This window comes from Homo sapiens, chromosome 18, assembly GCF_000001405.40.
Source record: "Homo sapiens chromosome 18, GRCh38.p14 Primary Assembly".
Lineage (NCBI taxonomy): Eukaryota > Metazoa > Chordata > Mammalia > Primates > Hominidae > Homo > Homo sapiens.
In genome coordinates this window covers 1,089,659-1,109,964 of record NC_000018.10, presented here as the reverse complement: position 1 = coordinate 1,109,964, position 20,306 = coordinate 1,089,659, and the positions used below count along the sequence as shown (strand labels likewise).

Genomic DNA, 20,306 nt, shown 5'->3' with positions numbered 1-20,306 from the left:
TGTATATATTATTATATAATATCAAAATCATAATGAGTAAACTTAATTGTATATATTAACCCAAAAATTACTCATGTTGAGTGACCACAGTTTCACTGATTTAAATATCACTTCCTCAGAGAAGTTCTTGTGGCCACCCTACCTAATGGGCCCTCTTCCCTAATTGTCATTTATCCCTTCACTCCACTTTTTTCCTCCTAACAGTTACCACCTGATAGTATGTGTTTGTGTGTGTGTGTATATATATATACACTATATATATACACACTATATATATAGAATATATAGAATATATATACACTATATATAGAATATATATAGAGAATATATAGAGAGAATATATAGAGAGAATATATATAGAGAATATGTATATAGAATATATATATATTCTATCTTCTCCCTGGAGAGAACATAGAACTGGAACTCTTTTGTTCATGGTTATATTCTCATCACCTGGGTCAATGCCTGCAATAATTAAAAGAGTGAATTTTAGCCCCTTCATTGTTATTTTTATCTTAGCAGCCGGTTTTTCAATATAACCTCTTTCAAATCATCTCATTTCTAACCTTTCAATTGACATATCTTGATCATTATGTCTTTCATTGTCAAAAGTTAAATCAAATTTAGTTTAATTTTAAAAAACAAACCAACTTCTAAATACATTTTAGTACAAAAACACTTTCATTAGGATACTACTGGAAATAAAAATAGTTTTAAAGTTAAAAAAAATATTGCTTAGCTCCAGCTCTCAAGGTTTTTGTTTTCTTCCCTCATCAGTTTGTTTCAACAGATGATCTCTTGACAGTCAGCCATGAGGTAGGTACTAGAAGGTCAAATATAAAAATGACGTGATCCATGCCTTAAAAGATGAAGAGTTTAGTAAGAATAACAAAGAAACAGATCATTTATGCTAAAAGGAATTTCACATTTTAAGAGGAAGATGTAGTCCTGAAACATAACTAGTCTATTTTTAAAAATTTATACAAGAGAAATTTCTTCCTATGTATGGATTCATGAAACCTCAACTATTTTATTTAGAAAGGTTGAGATTTTCTTTTGCTTCCGTGTGTGGTCTTTATTATGCATCTAATACCCAATTTGTTCACTTTAGTAGGAACTGGTCTCATTAATGACATTAGAGGGGATTAATACTGCAGTAATTTCCATGCTGAGTAATATATGGGAGAACCAAAAAAAAACACAAAAAAATTGAAGGTATGAACACTGCTGATTCCAATTATTTTTCCTTGACTATTGAATTTTGAAGATGCTTGCATAGCTATCTACTATATATTATTCAAGAGAAAAAAAATTTTAAGTACTCTGTGCATTTTGCCACTTATTAAGAATTCTAGTAAAAGAGAAGCTCGAGGTCCTTCTAAGATTAGGGATTTGTCTATTTGTGCCTTTTAATTATGCCTTCTACAATTACCATGAATCAAGGAAAAAGACAAGATCTGGGAATTCTAGTCCTGGATGACAAGTATGGTCACCTTAGATGAGCCTTTTAACTTCTCTTGCCCTAAGTTTCCTTATCCAGGAAAAAAAAAAAAAAAGACAAATGAACCAGATAATTTCTATAGTTTCTTCAAGTTCCAAGTTTTCTAAGTATGTGTCATGAATAATTAAAAACTTGCTATTATCTCTTCAAATAATTGATGTACAAACGGCCTGTGAAGAATCCAGTACTTTTCCCTATGTAAACATCATCAGCAATACTACTCAGTGCAAGCCACTTTATGTGGAGACGCAAAGCTCACAACATAACTGAGAACATTTTTAAAACATGAAAAATGACCATGTCTAAGATAAACCATCACTGGCTATCAAAAGATTTGCATATACCAGTGGTATATGCCAAACCAGGTTAGTAAATTGGATCATCAAGTAGTTAAAAAGAAAAACATGGATCCACAGTATCTCAGCATGGAATCCAGGATTCCTTTTTAATTTCTTCCTGTGATTTTGAGGTGTAGTCAAATTTTGTGAACCATGGTTATAAACAATAAATGTTATGAGTTCTGAACACTGAGGGACCTCTGTGCTCTAAATTAGTTTGGGAAAGCTAATAATAATGTGTATTATTGAAATTGATTCATAATTTTTCCTTGATCAGTCAGTAATTGTTCAAACAAAACTGACAGTAATAATTCCTTAGGGGTGTGATAATCAGTCAAACTTTTTATGCAAGTGAGTTGTATTCAGATAGACTCATACATTCTCTCTCAAATCTCCTAGCAATAATAATTACTACACCTTATATTTGTATTGTGTTTTATGAATCACAATGTGCTCCACATGAATTTTCATTTGAACCTTACTTAGTTATATTATCCCCACCTTAAAAATCAGGAAATTGAAGCTCAGAGATAATTGTTCCAGAATTACACAAATAAATAGAAACTTGAGTGTAAACAAAAGTTTTTCTGACTCCAAGTGCTTCTTATCTAATCTCATAAACAGTAAAAGTTGTTCTTGACATAAGACATCACTTAAAGCCACTAGTATGCTTGTATAACTTAAACTTCACTTTCTTTAACTTAGGCAGGTAAGAAATTTTTATTTCTATAAGACTTGCAAATATCTTTCATTTATATGACTCCTGCGTTAGAACTACTCTTACCCCAATGGCTCAAATTAATATTTTTAGAGTAATTTTACTTCTAAGCTCCATCCAAAAATCCTGAGGAAATCTCCCTGCTAGGCATGACAGTAGGTGGAAACTATTTCTCTCACTTGGAAGAAAACATATCAGAATTTAACAGTAGAAAGTGCTGGAAATAAAAACAGGTAACCAAAACCTATATCTATCATCCAAGAGAAAATTCAACAGCATCCTTTAATAAAAGCAGAGCTCCTGAAACAGAGCAGAAAGAACAGACTTCGGGATCAGATGAAATTGGACTTAAATACTAGCTGTGCCACTGAATAGCCATACCAGCTTGGGCAAGAATGAAGCAAATGAGGAATGTTTCACAAAGATGGCAGTGGAAGCTGTGGTGATGGCTGGTGGTGGTAAGAAATAGAAAACAGAAAAAGCAGAAAAACAGATCTGAATGCAGTGGTTTTCTAGTGAAGCATCTAGAAAACCAGGATGGGATGGGATGGGGTGGGGTGGGGTGGGGTGGGGTGGGGTGGGGTGGGGTAGGGTAGGGTGGGATGGGATGGGATGGGATGGGACGGGACGGGACCATATTGGGAATTTCAGAGGTCACTCAGGCCAAGGATTTTGAATGCCAATCTAAATAGTATAGACTTCCTCCAATAGGTGACTGACTCAGTGAATGCTTTTGATTGAAGCATAATGAAATCAGCTGTTAGGAAGGTTAGTCAAGAAATGGTATTTTTGTTGGTTAGTTTGTTTGTTATTGTTTGTTTTAGGATATATTTAAGGACCCAGTTACATACTTTCCCGTTTATCCAAAAATAAAGTACAGATGACCTATCTTCTGTTCTGTATTTTACTGCAAAATACAAGAAATCCTCCAGAGCCTAACAAAGTGAGGTTCTTTCAGGACTCTCATTGGAATCAAAAGGCCTGGGTTTTCATTCCATTTACTAGCAAAAATAATGAGACAATCTCTCTAAGCCTTAATTTCCTTGTCTGTAAAATAGACATAATAGTACCTATGTTGCATATTTACTGTGAGGATAGAAATAATCTAAAGTTGCCTAATACCATTCTCAGCACATACTGGCACACAATAAATGGTAGCCATTATTTTCCCCCATAAAATAGATTTCTTCCTTTTGAGACTGTCCCATTTGGCTTAAGTTTTATTGTCTCCATTTAATTTAACTGTACTTAAGTTCACAGCCTCTAGGAATAAAGTCTTCACATTCTTAGGGGAATAGAAGCCTTCCATTCCTCAGGCATTTACCTTCTGCCCTGAGGAACAGGACCGCCAGCACTACTATTTAGATATCAAATGAAAGTGATGATCTACCCAAGACGTTCTTCCAAACTGACCTGGTGTTCCTTTTCCAAAGAACTATGCTCTGCTGTTTCAAAGACTCCCAGTGTTTTTTCATTATCCTGCAGCTCATTTCTCTCAAGCGATAGATGAGCTTAGCAAAATTGCTTTATAATGCTAGGTGGCTGTCCAGTTTCAATTTAAGCATATTGCAAAACTAGCCTACCTTGAGACTTCTTTGTCATTTTTCTAGAAATGGGTACATGATTCTTGCATCTAAAAAACTCAGGTTACTTACTCAAATAACCTTAGCCTCTTTGACTTACAACTGTTAACACAGGGAAGAAAAGTCAGTAAATAGACAGGTAAATAATACATCAAATTCTCTAATAGTAGCAAGTGTGCGGTGACATTTATTGTTGTTTTCTATTCCCTATTTCTGGTGGAAAAATGAATCGCTTACTGTACCAATCATAGTACCAGACTCTCTGGGTCATTTTATTGCAGTTGGAATCTGACCAATGCTAAGCCAACCAAAGTTCCAACATAACCACTAGCGTGAAGTCTTTGTAGCTATATTTACAGCCACTGGTCACTACCAAATGATTCTTCTGAATCCCTTAAGTTCCCAGAAAAAGAATCTGACTGTCTGTTAGCCAGTGAATGCATTTAGTGCCTTTGAGTCAGGCGTCCATCTTGGTCCAACATTGAGTTGAATGGTGAAATTGCAGGAGCTAGGAGTCACAAAAAGGGGAAGCTTTTAGAACTGTAACCCTAAAATTGAATGAATGAACAAGGTTGAATAAAATATATCTTATTAGAAAGTTTAACTCACACATTAAGTAGCTCGACTGACAGGATTGGTGAAAGGTCCTTTGATCCTAGTAGCATAGTATAGCTATGATTATGAATGTGCGAAAGTAAAGAAATCTAGGAGTCCCTGTTCCCAGATCTCAGACTAAGTCAGAAATATTTTCTGAAGGAGCTAGTCTTCCGTTTGATATTTCCGGCAAATCTTTCTCTGCAAAAAAAATTTCTTTTACAGAAGAATTAAATATTACCCCTTCTATTCCACAAGTGCATGAATAGAAGACTCTCCAGATAGCTGAGGATGGAGTAGAGAAAGACACCAGCAAAGGCAAGGACAGCCCCCACAATAAACCTAGAAGGGTGGGTTTAGCAAGGCCTGTAGCAGTAAGGACTTGACCCAAAAGAACCCACAGTGAGAATATTAAAATCCCGACAATTTTCCTAGCAACAAGAACCACAATTCTCTAGAGTCCAGCAGCCAGCATTTCAGAAGAAATAGATCAAGACATTGTGGAATGGATCCAGAAATCAGGATCAAGTAGAACCCCAGAGAACTGCACCAACAAAACGACATGGGCTCCATTAGGGATGACTAACTACTTCTGGCCAGTGGACAGATGCCAAATTTCTAGATGTGGTTTAAAAAGCTCACAGTGTAAGCACAGATTACTATATCTGCTTCATAAACATTACTTATCCTCCACAATGCGTGTGAATCAAGCAATTCTCATACAAACCCTTTTGCTAAAACGTGCTGCCTTGAGTATCTTGTTAGGTATTGTTGTACATAATCTAGCTAAATCTAAGTGGATCTGACCAACAAGATTCTTTCTATATTAGTGTGCATGTAAAAAACTGAATAATCCTAATTGGCTGTACCCCTGCTTCCACCTCCTGGGATTGAAAAATACAGAACAGTCATCCAAGAAAATGTTTTGTCTCTCTTCCTAGTAACTAAAGAAGAGTTACTTATAATTTCTTCTAGTGATGTTTTCCAGCTGGGATCATTGTAGTTAACAGGAAATCATTGCTTATTGCTTTTCACAATGCATTTCCATTAAATAAGACATCATTTATGACCTTGAATGGAGACCTTTTTTTTTTTTACTAACTGTGTGTTACATTCCTAAGAAACATAACAACAGCAACAAAAGCTAGCCTTGGCTGATATAGTTTCTGGTCAATTTACCATCTCATAAGGATATCATTTTTAAATCTCAGCTGTTGATACTGAGAAACTGTTGATGGTCTATATATACATTCCATGTATACATATGAAGCAGAACATTTACATGAATTGTTTAAATATTTTCAAATCAATAACTCCCTAACACCTTTATTTCAGCACAAGCCTTCTCCTGCTTGTTTTATTAACAAGCACCCATTATAGAGTCTTTCTACAAATGCATGGCTGACAGATGACAGACACAGGCAGGAAAGTGGCAGGGAGGATATTGCTAATACCAGCTGAATACATAAATACATTAATCACACAGACCATGCTCAATTATTCAGAAGCTGACATTATACTGTGAGATCAGCTTAGCCCCTGGCTCCTGCTCCTGTCAACTGAACACATATTTATTAAGGCCTTACTCTATACACAGCACTCCGGTGACATGCTCAGTGAGAGACAGAAAAAGAAACCACTACCTTGGTTGAGAAGATCAGATGTACATATGAAAAACAACTGAAGAACACGACTCAAGTGCTATCATATTCTTCCTTCCTTTAATTGGAAACAGTTTGGGGTGTTCATTATCTCTCATTACTGCTGCCACAAGACATTTAAAGAGAATTGGGACACAAGTCAGCTGTTTTTATCTCATGTAACAGATCTGGGAAAAGACTTAGTGAGGAGAGGAGAGGAAGAGGGTAAAACTATTCATAAACAGAAAGTATGAGGTTATCTACAAGTGCCATTTTCTATGTCATATCATTTTAACATTGGCATGGAAAAATTAACAGCTTCATTGGACACGAACATAGTATGTATGGATGTTCTACATCTACAAGTCACCTTTCAAGGTCCTAGTTTTCTTTAAGAATCACTATGCTGTCAGTTGACACCAGGGGATGTTACAAAGGAGGGGTGCTGTTGGCCTCAAGATACCCTCCTCCTGGCACTCCCCTCCAGCCTCTGCAGCTGGAATTCCCAGGCCCCCACATCCCTCTTCACAGCCAACAGCGCCATCTGATGCTTGCTCCACAACATGCCCTCTACCCCAGCTTCCAAAATGTCCCCTTTGAGCTACTTCTTTATTCCCTTTTTGCCTTAGAGACCCTATTCAGCTAAGTGTTGGGAGAAAAGCAATTGGTCAACGTAATTCATGATAAGCATCTAACAAAGGTCTAATATCCAGAATCTAAAAGGAACTTTAACAATTGAATAAGAAAACAACACTTCTCAAAAGAAGACATTTATGCAGCCAAAAAACACATGAAAAAATGCTCACCATCACTGGCCATCAGAGAAATGCAAATCAAAACCACAATGAGATACCATTTCACACCAGTTAAAATGGCAATCATTAAAAAGTCAGGAAACAACAGGTGCTGGAGAGGATGTGGAGAAATAGGAACACTTTTACACTGTTGGTGGGACTGTAAACTAGTTCAACCATTGTGGAAGCCAGTGTGGCAATTCCTCAGGGATCTAGAACTAGAAATACAACCCCATTAAAAATGGACAAAAGACATGAACAGATGCTTCTCAAAAGACATACAAATGGACAACAACAAATATATAAATAAAGTGCTCAGCATCACTAATCATCAGAGAAATACAAATCAGAACCATAATGAGATACTATCTCACACCAGTCAGTATGGCTATGATTAAAAAGTCGAAAAACAGATGCTGGTGAGGCTGCAAAGAAAAGGGAATGCTTATACACTGTTGGTGGGAATGTAAATTAGTTCAGCCTCTGTGGAAAGCGGTTTGGAGATTTCTCAAAGAAGTTAAAACAAAATTACCATCTAACCCAGCAATCCCATTATGGGGTATATATCCAAAAGAAAACAAATTTTTCTACCAAAAAGACACAGGCACTCACATGTTTATCACAGTGCTATTCACCATAGCAAAGTCATGGAATCAGCCTAGGTTTTCATCAGTGGTAGATTGGATAAAGAAAATGTGCTACACATACACCATGAAATACTACACAGCCATAAAAAAGAATGAAACCATGTCCTTTGTAGCAATACGGATGCAGCTGGAGCCACTAACTTAGGTGAATTAATGCAGGAACAGAAAACCAAATACTGCATGTTCTCACTTATAAGTGGAAGCTAAACATTGGGTACTCATGGAAATAAAGATGGCAACAATAGACACTGGGGACTGGGGGGAAGGTTGGGATGGGAGTAAAAGTTGAAAACTAACTGTTGGGTACCATGCTCAGTATCTGAGTGATAGGATCATTTGTACCCCAAACCTCAACATCATGCAATATACACAAATAACAAACCTGCCTGTGTACACCATTAATCTAAAATAAAAGTTGAATTAAACAAAAACAAAACAAACAAACGAAAAAAGGATGGGGGCATGTCTAAAATTCTCTTTTTTGGTTGTGTCTCTGCCATTTGACCCAGCCATCCCATTACTGGGTATATACCCAAGGGACTATAAATCATGCTGCTATAAAGACACATGCACACGTATGTTTATTGAGGCATTATTCACAATAGCAAAGACTTGGAACCAACCCAAATGTCCAACAATGATAGACTGGATTAAGAAAATGTGGCACATATACACCATGGAATACTATGCAGCCATAAAAAATGATGAGTTCATGTCCTTTGTAGGGACATGGATGAAATTGGAAACCATAATTCTCAGCAAAATATCGCAAGGACAAAAAACCAAACACCGCATATTCTCACTCATAGGTGGGAATTGAACAATGAGAACACATGGACACAGGACGGGGAACATCACACTCTGGGGACTGTTGTGGGGTGGGGTGAGGGGGGAGGGATAGCACTGGGAGATATACCTAATGCTAGATGACGAGTTAGTGGGTGCAGCGCACCAGCATGGCACATGTATACATATGTAACTAACCGGCACATTGTGCACATGTACCCTAAAATTTAAAGTATAATAATAATAAATTAATTAATTTTAAAAAAATAGATAATGTAGAAATAAAAATAAAAAATAAAGCCTTTAATACATCTAGAATAGATTAAAAAAAAAAAAAAAAAGGCTGGGGGCATGTCAAGGAGACTCTGGAGCCAACCTGAAAGAACCCTGAATGGCCAAAGCCAGAAAAATTTAAGCAACAAAATAAATAATGTAGTACTAATTTATAACCCAAAGTATTAACAGAAAATAAACATACATGAGTCTACACTTACATTTAAAAAGTAAATGATATGAATAATTTCACTTAGTACAGCACCAGGCACATCACAATTCATTAATAAATCCCAGTTTCCCTTCCTTGTAAGCACAAGGGTAAGAAAACATATGGTCTGAAGCTTACAGTTAAGGGCATTAACAAAAAAGATCATTACCCATTCAAAAATAAATGTTATATTATGTAAAAAAGACATACCTGCCTTTAATTTTTAAAATATCATCCTGATGGCAGGCATCTAGCTTTAGCAAAAATGAATAGGGCGTTCCCTCACTTTAGACTCATAGTACTTAGAATAGACTACTGTTAGAATTCTTTTTATTCTCTCTTTTAATTAATTGTGTGCATGTCTGTCTCTTCCACCTTATGATGGGCTCCAAAATGTTGACATCTGAATCTTATATGTAACGTCACATCGTTAGATGACTCTGCACATGTGAAGGAGCAAGTGTGTAAGGACAAGGTGATGGTAATTCTGAAACCATCCCTGTATGAATAAAATTCACTGCTATATAGCAAAAAAGGCCTACAAAATTACCGCCTAACCTATAAAAATAAAAGAAAACCTAAATTAAAAATAGAGGCATTTCAACAATGAGAAAAATGCTCGTTAAAATATTAAGTGGCAAATAATGCATTTTGTATAATTTGGAATAACTATGTTGAGTTTAACTACACACCAATAAAAAGGTCAAAAGGAAATACAACAAACATTAGTGATAAAGATCAGAAATTTCCTCTTAAAAGACACTTTAAAAGACCATCTTATTTAATCTCCCTCCCAATTTGACACTGAGAGTTTTTCCTTTCACTGCACTCATTTTCCCTGGACAATCTTTTTCATTGATTTCTTCAATCAATCAATCAACATGTATTACTTAATATATGTTAGTCTCCCGTGTGTCAAGCAGTCTGCTAGACATTGGATACCCAGAAGGGACAGTCCCTGCCCTCACTGTCGCTGCTGGGAAGACAAACATTTAAGGAGAGTGCTGAGTATTCATAAGGCTCAGCTCCGTATGTGAGGAGAGCACCTAATCTACTCTGGGATGAGAGAAAGCCTGCTGGGGGAAGTAACTTTTCAGCTGAAACACAATGTGTGAGATGTTCGCATTGAGAAGAGAAGAGCAAGAAAAAACATCTTACGGGCTTCAACTGCCATCTACGTACTGATATCTCTCAGATTTGCATTTCCAGCCCAGAGAATTCTCATTACCTCCACATTGGCATAGAGCCTTCAGCCGCCTAATAGTCAACGTATCCAAACTGAAATCCTTTGTCTCCATTTTCCCCACTACTTTCAAAAAGAGAAAAACAGGCCATGCTTACTTCACTAAACCCTGAAGCCATGGATTATTTTAAATCATACTTTCAATCTTTCCAGTCACCAAGACAGAAAACCTACTTTATTCTACATTTCTCTTCCTCATCGTCCACCTCCCATGGGTCATAAAACTTTATTCTAATTCTCAGTCTCTCAAAACTCTCCCTTCTGCTCATCCCCACAGTCACAACTCTACCTCAGGTCCTCGTCACATTCTGAAAGTGTGTCCGGAATCGGTGGGTTCTTGGTCTCACTGACTTCAAGACTGAAGCCGCGGACCCTCACAGTGAGTGTTACAGTTCTTAAAAAGGCGGCGCGTCCAGAGTTTGTTCCTTCTGATGTTCGGATGTGTTCAGAGTTTCTTCCTTCTGGTGGGTTCGTGGTCTCACTGGCTCAGGAGTGAAGCTGCAGACCTTCACAGTGAGTGTTACAGCTCATAAAGGCGGTGTGGACCCAAAGAGTAAGCAGCAGCAAGATTTATTGCAAAGACCGAAAGAACTAAGCTCCCACACTCTGGAAGGGGACCAGACCGAGTTGCCACTGCTGGCTCGGGCAGCCTGCTTTTATTGTCTTATCTGGCCCCACCCACATCCTGCTGATTGGTCCATTTTACAGAGAGCCGATTGGTCTGTTTTACAGAGAGCTGATTGCTCTGTTTTGACAGGGTGCTGATTGGTGTGTTTACAATCCCTAAGCAAGACACAAAAGTTCTCCACGTCCCCACTAGATTAGCTAGACACAGTGTCTATTGGTGTATTTACAAACCCTGAGCTAGACACTGAGTGCTGATTGGTGCATTCACAATCCCTTAGCTAGACATAAAGATTCTCCAAGTCCCCACCAGACTCAGGAGCCCAGCTGGCTTCACCCAGTGGATCCCGCACAGGGGCCACAGGTGGAGCTGCCTGCCGGTCCCGTGCCCTGCGCCCGCACTCCTCAGCCCTTGGGCAGTGGATGGGACCGGGCGCTGTGGAGCGGGGAGCGGCGCTCGTCGGGGAGGCTGGGGCCGCGCAGGAGCCTACAGCCGGGGGCGGGGGGAGGCTCAGGCATGGCCGGCTGCAGGTCCTGAGCCCTGCCCCACAGGGAGGCAGCTAAGGCCTGGCGAGAAATCGAGCACAGCGCCAGTGGGCCGGCACTGCTGGGGGACCCGGCGCACCCTACGCAGCTGCTGGCCCGGGTTTAGCTAAGCCCCTCACTGCCCGAGGCTGGCGGGCCGGCCAGCAGTTCGGAGTGCTGGCCCGCCCAGCCCACGCCCACCCGGAACTCGCGTTGGCCTGCAAGCACCACACGCAGCCCCGGTTCCCGCCCGCGCTTCTCCCTCCACACCTCCCCGCAAGCTGAGGGCGCTGGCTCTGGCCTTGGCCAGCCCAGAAAGGGGCTACCATAGTGCAGCGGCGGGCTGAAGGGCTCCTCAAGTGCGGCCAGAATGGGCGCGAGGCGAGGAGGCACCCAGAGCCGGCGAGGAGGCACCCAGAGCCGGCGAGGGCTGCCAGCATGCTGTCACCTCTCAAAAGGACTATCAAAATAATTGCCTTATTCCCCTGATTGCTTTCTCTACTTCCAAACTCACTTCAACTCCCAATCCATTTTTCACATTTACTACAGAGTGATATTTCAAAAATGCAAATCCGGTCCTATTCCTCCATGATTCCTTCAGATAGTTTCCCGTTGCTCACAGATAAAAGTCTAAATTCTGCATGGTTCTGAATCCCTCGTCAGGCGTCTGCCTACTTCTCCACCTTAACATATCACTGCTACCCTTTTCCACTACACAAATGATAGGCAGACTTCTACAGAGTGGAAAGAAAGCCTCTGAAGTGTTCCTTCTGCCTGGAGTGCACTGCCTGCTTCCTCAAATTTCTGTCCAGCAAAATCTTCCTTCTCCTTAAAAATTAACTCAATACCTCCTCTTCTATAAATCATTTTCTGACTCCCCAAGATTGAATGTAATGCCATTTCCTGTATTTTCTACTCTCTTCCATTATAAAACTGTTCTGTCTACAATACCCCCGACAACAAGACTTATGTCAATTTCTTTATTCATGTAATTCCTTCTCAATCTTCAGATCCTTCCAACCACCACTTCCTAAGGAAGCCTTCTGAAACCCCTGACTAGGTCAGGCCTTTTTAAACTGAGAACAATGTTTTTATTCTTTCCCAGAACTTTTCTTAGTTTCTGATTATATATTAATTACAGTGATCTCTTTAATAATATCTCTTTCCTCATTAGACTATTATACAGAGGTAGGCCTTGGGTCTATCTTTGCTCACCATTACATAATGAATATTTAATCCCCACAACTTTAAGTTATTATTCTACTTTATGGGTATATAAATTGAGGTTTTGAAAGGTCACATAACTTCAAAGTCAGCCATATATTGAGTTGGGATTTAACTATAGTGTCTGGCTTTAGAGCCCAATCTTTAAAAGTCACCATCATCTAAGTATTTGTTGAATAAATTATTAAATTATCTTTTCCATCAGTTGTATTTAATTCATAAAATTATAAGTGAAATTTTTATCTGTTTTGTACGTGTTTATATTTTCCAAATTTTCTAAAATGATGTGACAATTTATGACAGAATAAGTAAATTTTGTCCTAAAACAGCATTTGGGCTCAACAAAATTTCACACAAATATTTTAAGGCATGCTTTGGTATGAACTGAACATATTTAAAGAACAGAGATAAATTAAGGTTAAAGTAAGTTATAAGAAACAGTAACACTTCATATCCATTTTGATATTATCAAAAAACAAAATTATTGATGAGGGTTGTGGAGAAACTGGAACTCCTGTGCATTGCTGCTGTGAATATAAAATGGTACAGATGCTGTGGAAAACAGTATAGCCATTCCTCAAAAAGTTAAAAATAGAATTACTCTATGATTCCAAGTCTGGGTTTATACCCAAAAGAATTGAAAGCAAAGACTTGAACCGATATTTGTACACCGATGTTCAAGGGAGCATTATTTACAATATCAAAAGGTGGAAACAACACAAGTGGCTATCAATAGATGAATGGATAAATAAAATGTGGTATCTGCATACAATGCAATAGTGTTCAGCCTTAAAAAGGAAGGAAATTCTGACACATCCTAGAATACGGATGAACGTTGAAGATAGGCTAAGTGAAATAAGACAGACACAAAAAGACAAATATTATATGATTCCACTTATATGCAGTACTAGAGTAGTTAGACTCTTAGAGACAGAAAATAGAAAAGTGACTGCCTTGGAGAGAAGGAGATATGGGGGAGTTACTGTTTAATGGGTACAGAGTTTCAGTTTTGCAAGATGAAAACATTCTGGAGATGGATGGCAGTGATGGTTGCACAACAACGTAAATGTACTTAATGCCACTGAACTGTACACTGAAAATGGTAAATATGGTAAATTTTGTCATGTATATTTCACCGCTAATATTGCAATATTTTCCACGGGAAAAGAAAGAAGCAAGACAGATACCAAAGAACTGAGAAAAATGTCTACCAGAAAAACAAATAACTAGGAAGGAAAGAGTGTGTGACAAATACTCTCAATGCCTGCTCACAGCCCCCAGCACCCACCTCCACCTACATGTTGAAGCCTGCTTACCAGGAACACCAGTGTCTTCTTGTCTGAGAGCATTTTTCTTGCTGGACCTTGGCAAGGGCAAGCTGGAAGTGAAGTACTACCCCCAGAAATAGCCCTGGGACACTGTTGGATGAGGATAAACGCCTCAGCTTCCCTGCCGCTCTGTGAGGGTAACTCCATGTTCTCCATGCAGCCCAGAGATCCCCATGGGATGAAACTATCACACCATAGTAACTTGCTTGACAACACGATTGCCTTCCTCCCCTGCTCTGTCTCCCTTCCTCAGTCCCCTACCAGAGTTCCCTGGAATCACCTCCCAAATAAACAGCTTGCACTCAAATCCTTGTCTTAGTATCTTCTGCGTAATTTCAAACTAAGACACAATAAAAATTCAAGGCCCTGATGAGCATCCCCCTACAAACAGCACAGATGGAGAAAGTACCATGAGGAAACAAATGTTCATTTTAAACATCCAAGGGGTCCAGGTTTGGAGAAAAAATTAACAATAATATGACACAAAAGTAGACATACACAAGCTGATGCCCAACGGTTGGCCTATAGTTTTAAGTAAGCAACATATTGAACCATGAAACTTACAACAGTGCTTTAGCATATTTTTATTTAATAAATAGATGATTGGCTTATCCTAATGCTGAATTTGTAATTCTACTGATAGATTCTTAAATAAAATCTCTTCTTTTTATGGATTATTTTAAAATAACTGTACAATGATATGACACCACTGCAGCTTGCTTTAAAGGTCTCCTTACTCTATATGCTAAATATAAAATCTATAGCCTGTTTAGAACTGAAAGTTTACTGAGTAATATAAAGTACTAACGATGTGTTCATTGTTAGCCCTGTGTACCCTTTCTGTCAGAGAATAAAACCATACTGAGAACATCTTCAGTTAAATGGTGTTTTAAAGCAAAACACCACTGTAATAAAACTTTTCAGAGGACTCCTATCTTCTGGGTGGCAATCAATCCTCATTTCCTTTTCAGTCACTACAGTGTCACTACTGGAGAAGAGGCTATACAGGTAATTATCTCCCAGGGTCTGCAGTTGAAGTCCCATTATCCAACCCCTTCTGATTTACCACTAAACCCTGAAGCCAACACTGATCCAAGGGAAAAGATGAATACCAAATGCATTGCTTTAAATGGATTTTAAATCCCATTCTCTACTCTTCCTTGGACAAATTTATCTTGTCCGACAGTCCCTCTGTGCAGTATACATCGGGAGGTACCATCTCCTTTGGACAGGGATTTAACCAACTATTGAAGAGCCAAAAAGGGAATAGAACTAGAACAACTGACTCACACCTCACAGCTTGAACCACTAGACCGAGCTTCCGCCCTGAGATGGAGATGAATCAGTCAATGGTGATTCATCTCACCAAGGAAAATGTGTTTTCTCTGGGATGAAGCAGTTCATTTTAAACATGATAATACAGAAATGTAAAAGTTAATGAAAATGAAAGGCTGTTTAAATTCAACAGCCAAGTAGGCTTTTCAATCTTAATGTACAAATGTGTATTGTCACATGATCTGAAAAAGCAATAAAGTATGAACATTGTTCATGGAAATATCTGAAAAAACTGAAAAATTTTTAAATTGTTTTAGTTGACAAAGGAAGCATTGTATATATTTATGGTATACAATATGATATTTTGATATATATGCATTATAGAATGATTAAATCAAGTTAGTTAATATATCCATTGCTTCGTATCCCTTGATAATGTTAAAATTACCAAAAAGTAAGGAAATGTGCACTAGAATATATTTACATGAAATAAACCAGGCTCTAAAAACATTTTTAATTTTAAAAGCTTAAACTGTCATTTAAGCAGAATGTTTTAAAGAATAATGTTAACCTTTGGCAAAATCACAAAAGGAGAAATTTTATTACAAACAAATTTAGTACAAATAACTGGCTGAATTGGTACATTAATTTAATAAATATAATAGCTGACATTTATTGAATGTCTATGCCATCTCTGCATTTTATAACAACCCTCAAAATAAATATTATCTACATTTTACTGAAGAGGTATCAGAGGTTCAAAGAAGTTTGGTGACTTGCCAAACATGAAGTAAGCCTCTGTTCTGAAATTCAAACCAGCTATTCTGTTTTCAAAACAATCCTGACAATTCTCCACTGTACAATACTCTCTCCCTAAGATATCTGAAGCCTACCTGCACCCTAAGCAATGGGTTTTATATTGTGAGCACTCAGGGTCGGGTGCAGTGAAGTGACTCATGCCTGTAATCCCAGCACTTTGGGAGGCCAAGGTGGGAGGGTCGCTTGAGCCCAGGAGTTCAGGACCAGCCTGGGCAACATAGTAAGACCCCCACCTCTAAAAAATAATAATAACAAAATAAAAATATATTGTGGGCATTCAAAATAACATCATGAATTGTGTGCTCTGTATCAGCAAAAAGAGAAAATTCTCTTTCTCTCTCTCTCTCTTTCACACACACACTTCACAGGCTCACACAACTAGTGATTGAAATGTATGAGCTTTGATAGCAAACTGGCTACTATTTCCACCCAACTTACTCAAATACCTTTATCCTACTACTGGTCAGTAGACTCAGATAGTGTTGTTTCAAGTCATTTCCTTATGTGATTAAGAAGCATCCAAGACTGAAAGATATTAACCTGAGATTACTGTACACATCCCTAAGTTGAAGCTGCCAATTAGCTTTGGTCACAAAGGATTCAGGTACATCTATACCTCTAGATTTGCAGTCCTGACTTTAAATTTGTAATATAAAGTATTTTTAAGGGAGATTTTCATTCAGGGAAAAACATAGAGGTTTTATCACATTTCTCTGACACAAAAAAATAACTTTTGTAAAACCTTTTATATAAGCCTAGCTGGCTTAAGACATTCACCAGGATCTTAAGTACCATGTGATGTTGTGGCCAGTTTTGAAATTTTTGATGGAATAAGTAGCATTATATAGTAAATATCACATCCTACTGTAAGCTTTAGTATAGTAATAATTAACATTTAATCGTCTCAACAATATATAGTGTCAGTACTATTATTATCCCTGTGTTACTGGAGTATACTCACGATATAGACATTGTGCCTTAGAAAGATTCAGTGATTCAGAAAACTAGGAAGTAGAGCTTGTATTCAAAGCCAAAAATGCCTGTGCTTTTAACCATCATGATTTACTGCCTCCTAATTTCCATAGAGGTCTACCAGATATTATCATACCTTTCCAGCCATTTAAGCTAGGCTTAATTGTTAAACATTAAAACTGCAAGTTATGCACAAGTTATAGTATATTGACTGCTGACTTCTAAAGTGCACACAAAGAAGCATCAACTAGCTATGATTCACTTCAGATCCACTTCAGAGTGTGGTACTGTGTCATTGGCATAATAGCAAGCTCATAGTTACTGGACCAAGAACTCCTACCACTGCCCGTACCTGGGCTGCCAGAGGCAATTGCCAGGACAAACACCTGTGCTCAGATGGGTCTCTGGGAGCTGTCCTTGGTGCTGGCTGGGGAAAAAAAAAAAAACACTGGCTCCAGCTTGCTTTTCCTTATTTCCGCTCAGATTTTGCTGGCTAACCAAACCCGAGTCTTCTTTGTCTGTATATTCTGCTTATTAGCAAGCTTTTATCTCACTCTGTCCGCATCCCTGCCTACTGACCATGGAGCTTGTCTAAGCCCTAAGCTCTGTCTGCGCTGCCATGATTCCATCTTGGCTTCATTTTTTTGCCTGGATTCTCAGTGGAACAGCCTACTACTGTCTGGTCTGAGGTATTCTTTAAGAAGAGAAAAAATGGCCGGGCGCGTGGCTCATGCCTGTAATCCCAGCACTTCGGGAGGTCGAGGCGGGTGGATCACCTGACGTCAGGAGTTCAAGACCAGCCTGACCAACATGATGAAACCCCATCTCTACTAAAAATACAAAATTAGCCGAGCGTGGTGGCTCATACCTGCAATCCCAGCTACTCGAGAGGCTGAGGCAGGAGAATCGCTAGAACCCAGAAGGCAGAGGTTGCAGAGAGCGGAGATCATGCCTCTGCACTCCAGTCTGGGCAACAAGAGCAAAATTCAGTCTCAAAAAAAAAAATAAATAAATAAAAAGAAGAGAAAATATATAAATAAAAATACTTAACAAATAATACGGATATTAAGACTACTCTTCTCATTTGTCCCTTCTTATATTGCTTAGGATGTGCGCATGGAGGGAAGAAATGGGGAAGGGGTTCTTCTGGTAACCCCAAAGCCCCAGCTAAGTGTTACTTGAAAGTTGTGTTGAGAAATGAAGTCATAAAGTGAGAAGGAAGGAAACGGCAGGGGAGACACTGATAGAATTGACTTCGGTTGAGGCTGAGAGCAAGAGATAACAGGGAAGAGGCTATGAGGAAGCTAACCCTAAATCATGCTACCTGTTTCCCAGTGGATATTGGAAGCTGAGCTTTAGGTCCTAATGAAAAGACATAAAAGAGGGAAAATAATAAGTGGCTTTTTACAAAAGAAAATAAAAATCTAAATATTTTTATCTTTGTTGAAAATACCTATTTGTAGCTATATCATCTTTGCAAATTTAAATTCCCAGGCCTAATTTATTAATAGAATGCTATGTCTCATTAATTTAAGGTGTCTGGTATATAAAAAACTTTCACAAACTAATTCAAACTAACAAAGTATGACACTAGTCTCAGAAATTGTGTGAAATTTGCTTTAAAAATCGCTGCTGGCTGTCCAATAATTATACATTGTGACATTGCAGCAGCTTGGCTTCCATCTTAAATTAGAAAATGTGAAGCCAGTTTTAAAAAAATGATGTACCAGCATGATATCAACCTAGCAAATGCATAAATACATTTAAATTTATTTAACTAATTGCCCCCTTCACAGCCAGGTATTTATAGCCCTAAGTTATTTACCTTTTTTTTTTTTGTCTACAATAGCACAATGGGAGTCATTCCATGGTCATCCTTCTCACTGCATAACAATTCATTCGGTCACAAGCTGGGTATTTTGTTGCAGATGGGTTTACCCTAATGACCACAGCTCTGCACTTACAATTAACATTTTAACAAAAGTTTGATACTACTTGTGAATAAATAACATACCTCCTATTGTTAGCAGAAGTATACAGCTACCAAAATTAGTGTAGGATAGCTGCAGTTCTTAATATAAATTCTAAGAAGCTTGAGGGATTCTTTGAAGAAAATGAGGATTTAAGAGGAAAAATATTTCATCTTCTGGCCGAAACTCAAGGACAATAAGAAAATGATTCTGAATGTTATGTTATTTAGATGTCAACTCCAAGTCGGGGAATATACTACCTTCATACTGTTTGTGTTTTCCTGTAAAAGGTCAGAGATGTCAGTGGTGTCTCCCACCAACAACACCTCCCTTTCCATCTGAGATACATTTATGGTATTTTTCCATGAAAGTTCCATAATGCTTACATAGACAAACCTTTCATTTTGCAGATAAAAGGGAAAAGCCCAGACATACCAAATGACTTTTCCAAAGTTGCACAAGCAAAATTGGAACCTAACATATCTGACTACAAATAGAATGTTATTTCCATTATACTGTACTGTTTCACACAGAATTTATATTTCTAGACATCTTTTAGATAAGGTTAAACATTGTTATGTAGATGTTGCAAGAAAAAAAAAATGATCACGATTTTGGATGAACCAATCACTAAATGTCCCATCTAAACTTGGACTAAGACATTTGGATTTCTTTCTTGTTTTCTATTTCTAAAAAAATAGAAACTTTTATAACTCCATTAGTATTTGTCTTCTTTTGCAAATATATTTTACTTCTTAACTGCATCCAGGAACTGGAAGCCTAAAAAACCTTTACTTTATGAGAAAGCTAAATAATTCGGGATTTCAAGGGATCACGGCAGGACTAGATTGCAGCTCCAGACAGACCAGCATGCGGAGGCTTGCATTGTGAATTTTAGCTCCATATCAAGTGCAAGAACAAACCAGCAATCCCAAGAGGACCCACAGACCCTCTGAAGGAATCGGACTGCTACTGCAGAACCCGGGAGATACCCCAAATACTGTGAGTGCCCCAACTGCAGAAGTGCGAAAGGGAGATCTTCCTCTCCCGAACACACACCCCCATTGGAGAAGTTGAAGGTCTGTTTGTGGGAGAAGTTTCCGGCTTTACTTGGAGCTGAGTCAAGTTAGAGAGCCAAGTGAAATAGAGTGGTAGAGGAAGCAGCTGAAAGGCCCTGGGAGCTTGCTGGGTCCCCAAGCAGTCCATTCCTGCCTGGCACCACAGGGATCCATCAGGAGGGT

General features: G+C 38.4%; 1 long non-coding RNA gene across 2 annotated transcripts in view; it reads right to left on the bottom strand.

Annotated features, from left to right (window-relative positions):
* LOC105371953 (uncharacterized) overlaps positions 1 to 10,960 on the bottom strand; it is a 155,413-nt gene extending 144,453 nt beyond the window's left edge. For both annotated transcript variants that reach the window (XR_001753318.2, XR_007066436.1), the window contains exon 1: positions 10,618 to 10,960. This is a non-coding gene — a long non-coding RNA (uncharacterized LOC105371953). The remainder of the gene's footprint in view (positions 1 to 10,617) is intronic.
* Positions 10,961 to 20,306: the final 9,346 nt, after the last annotated feature.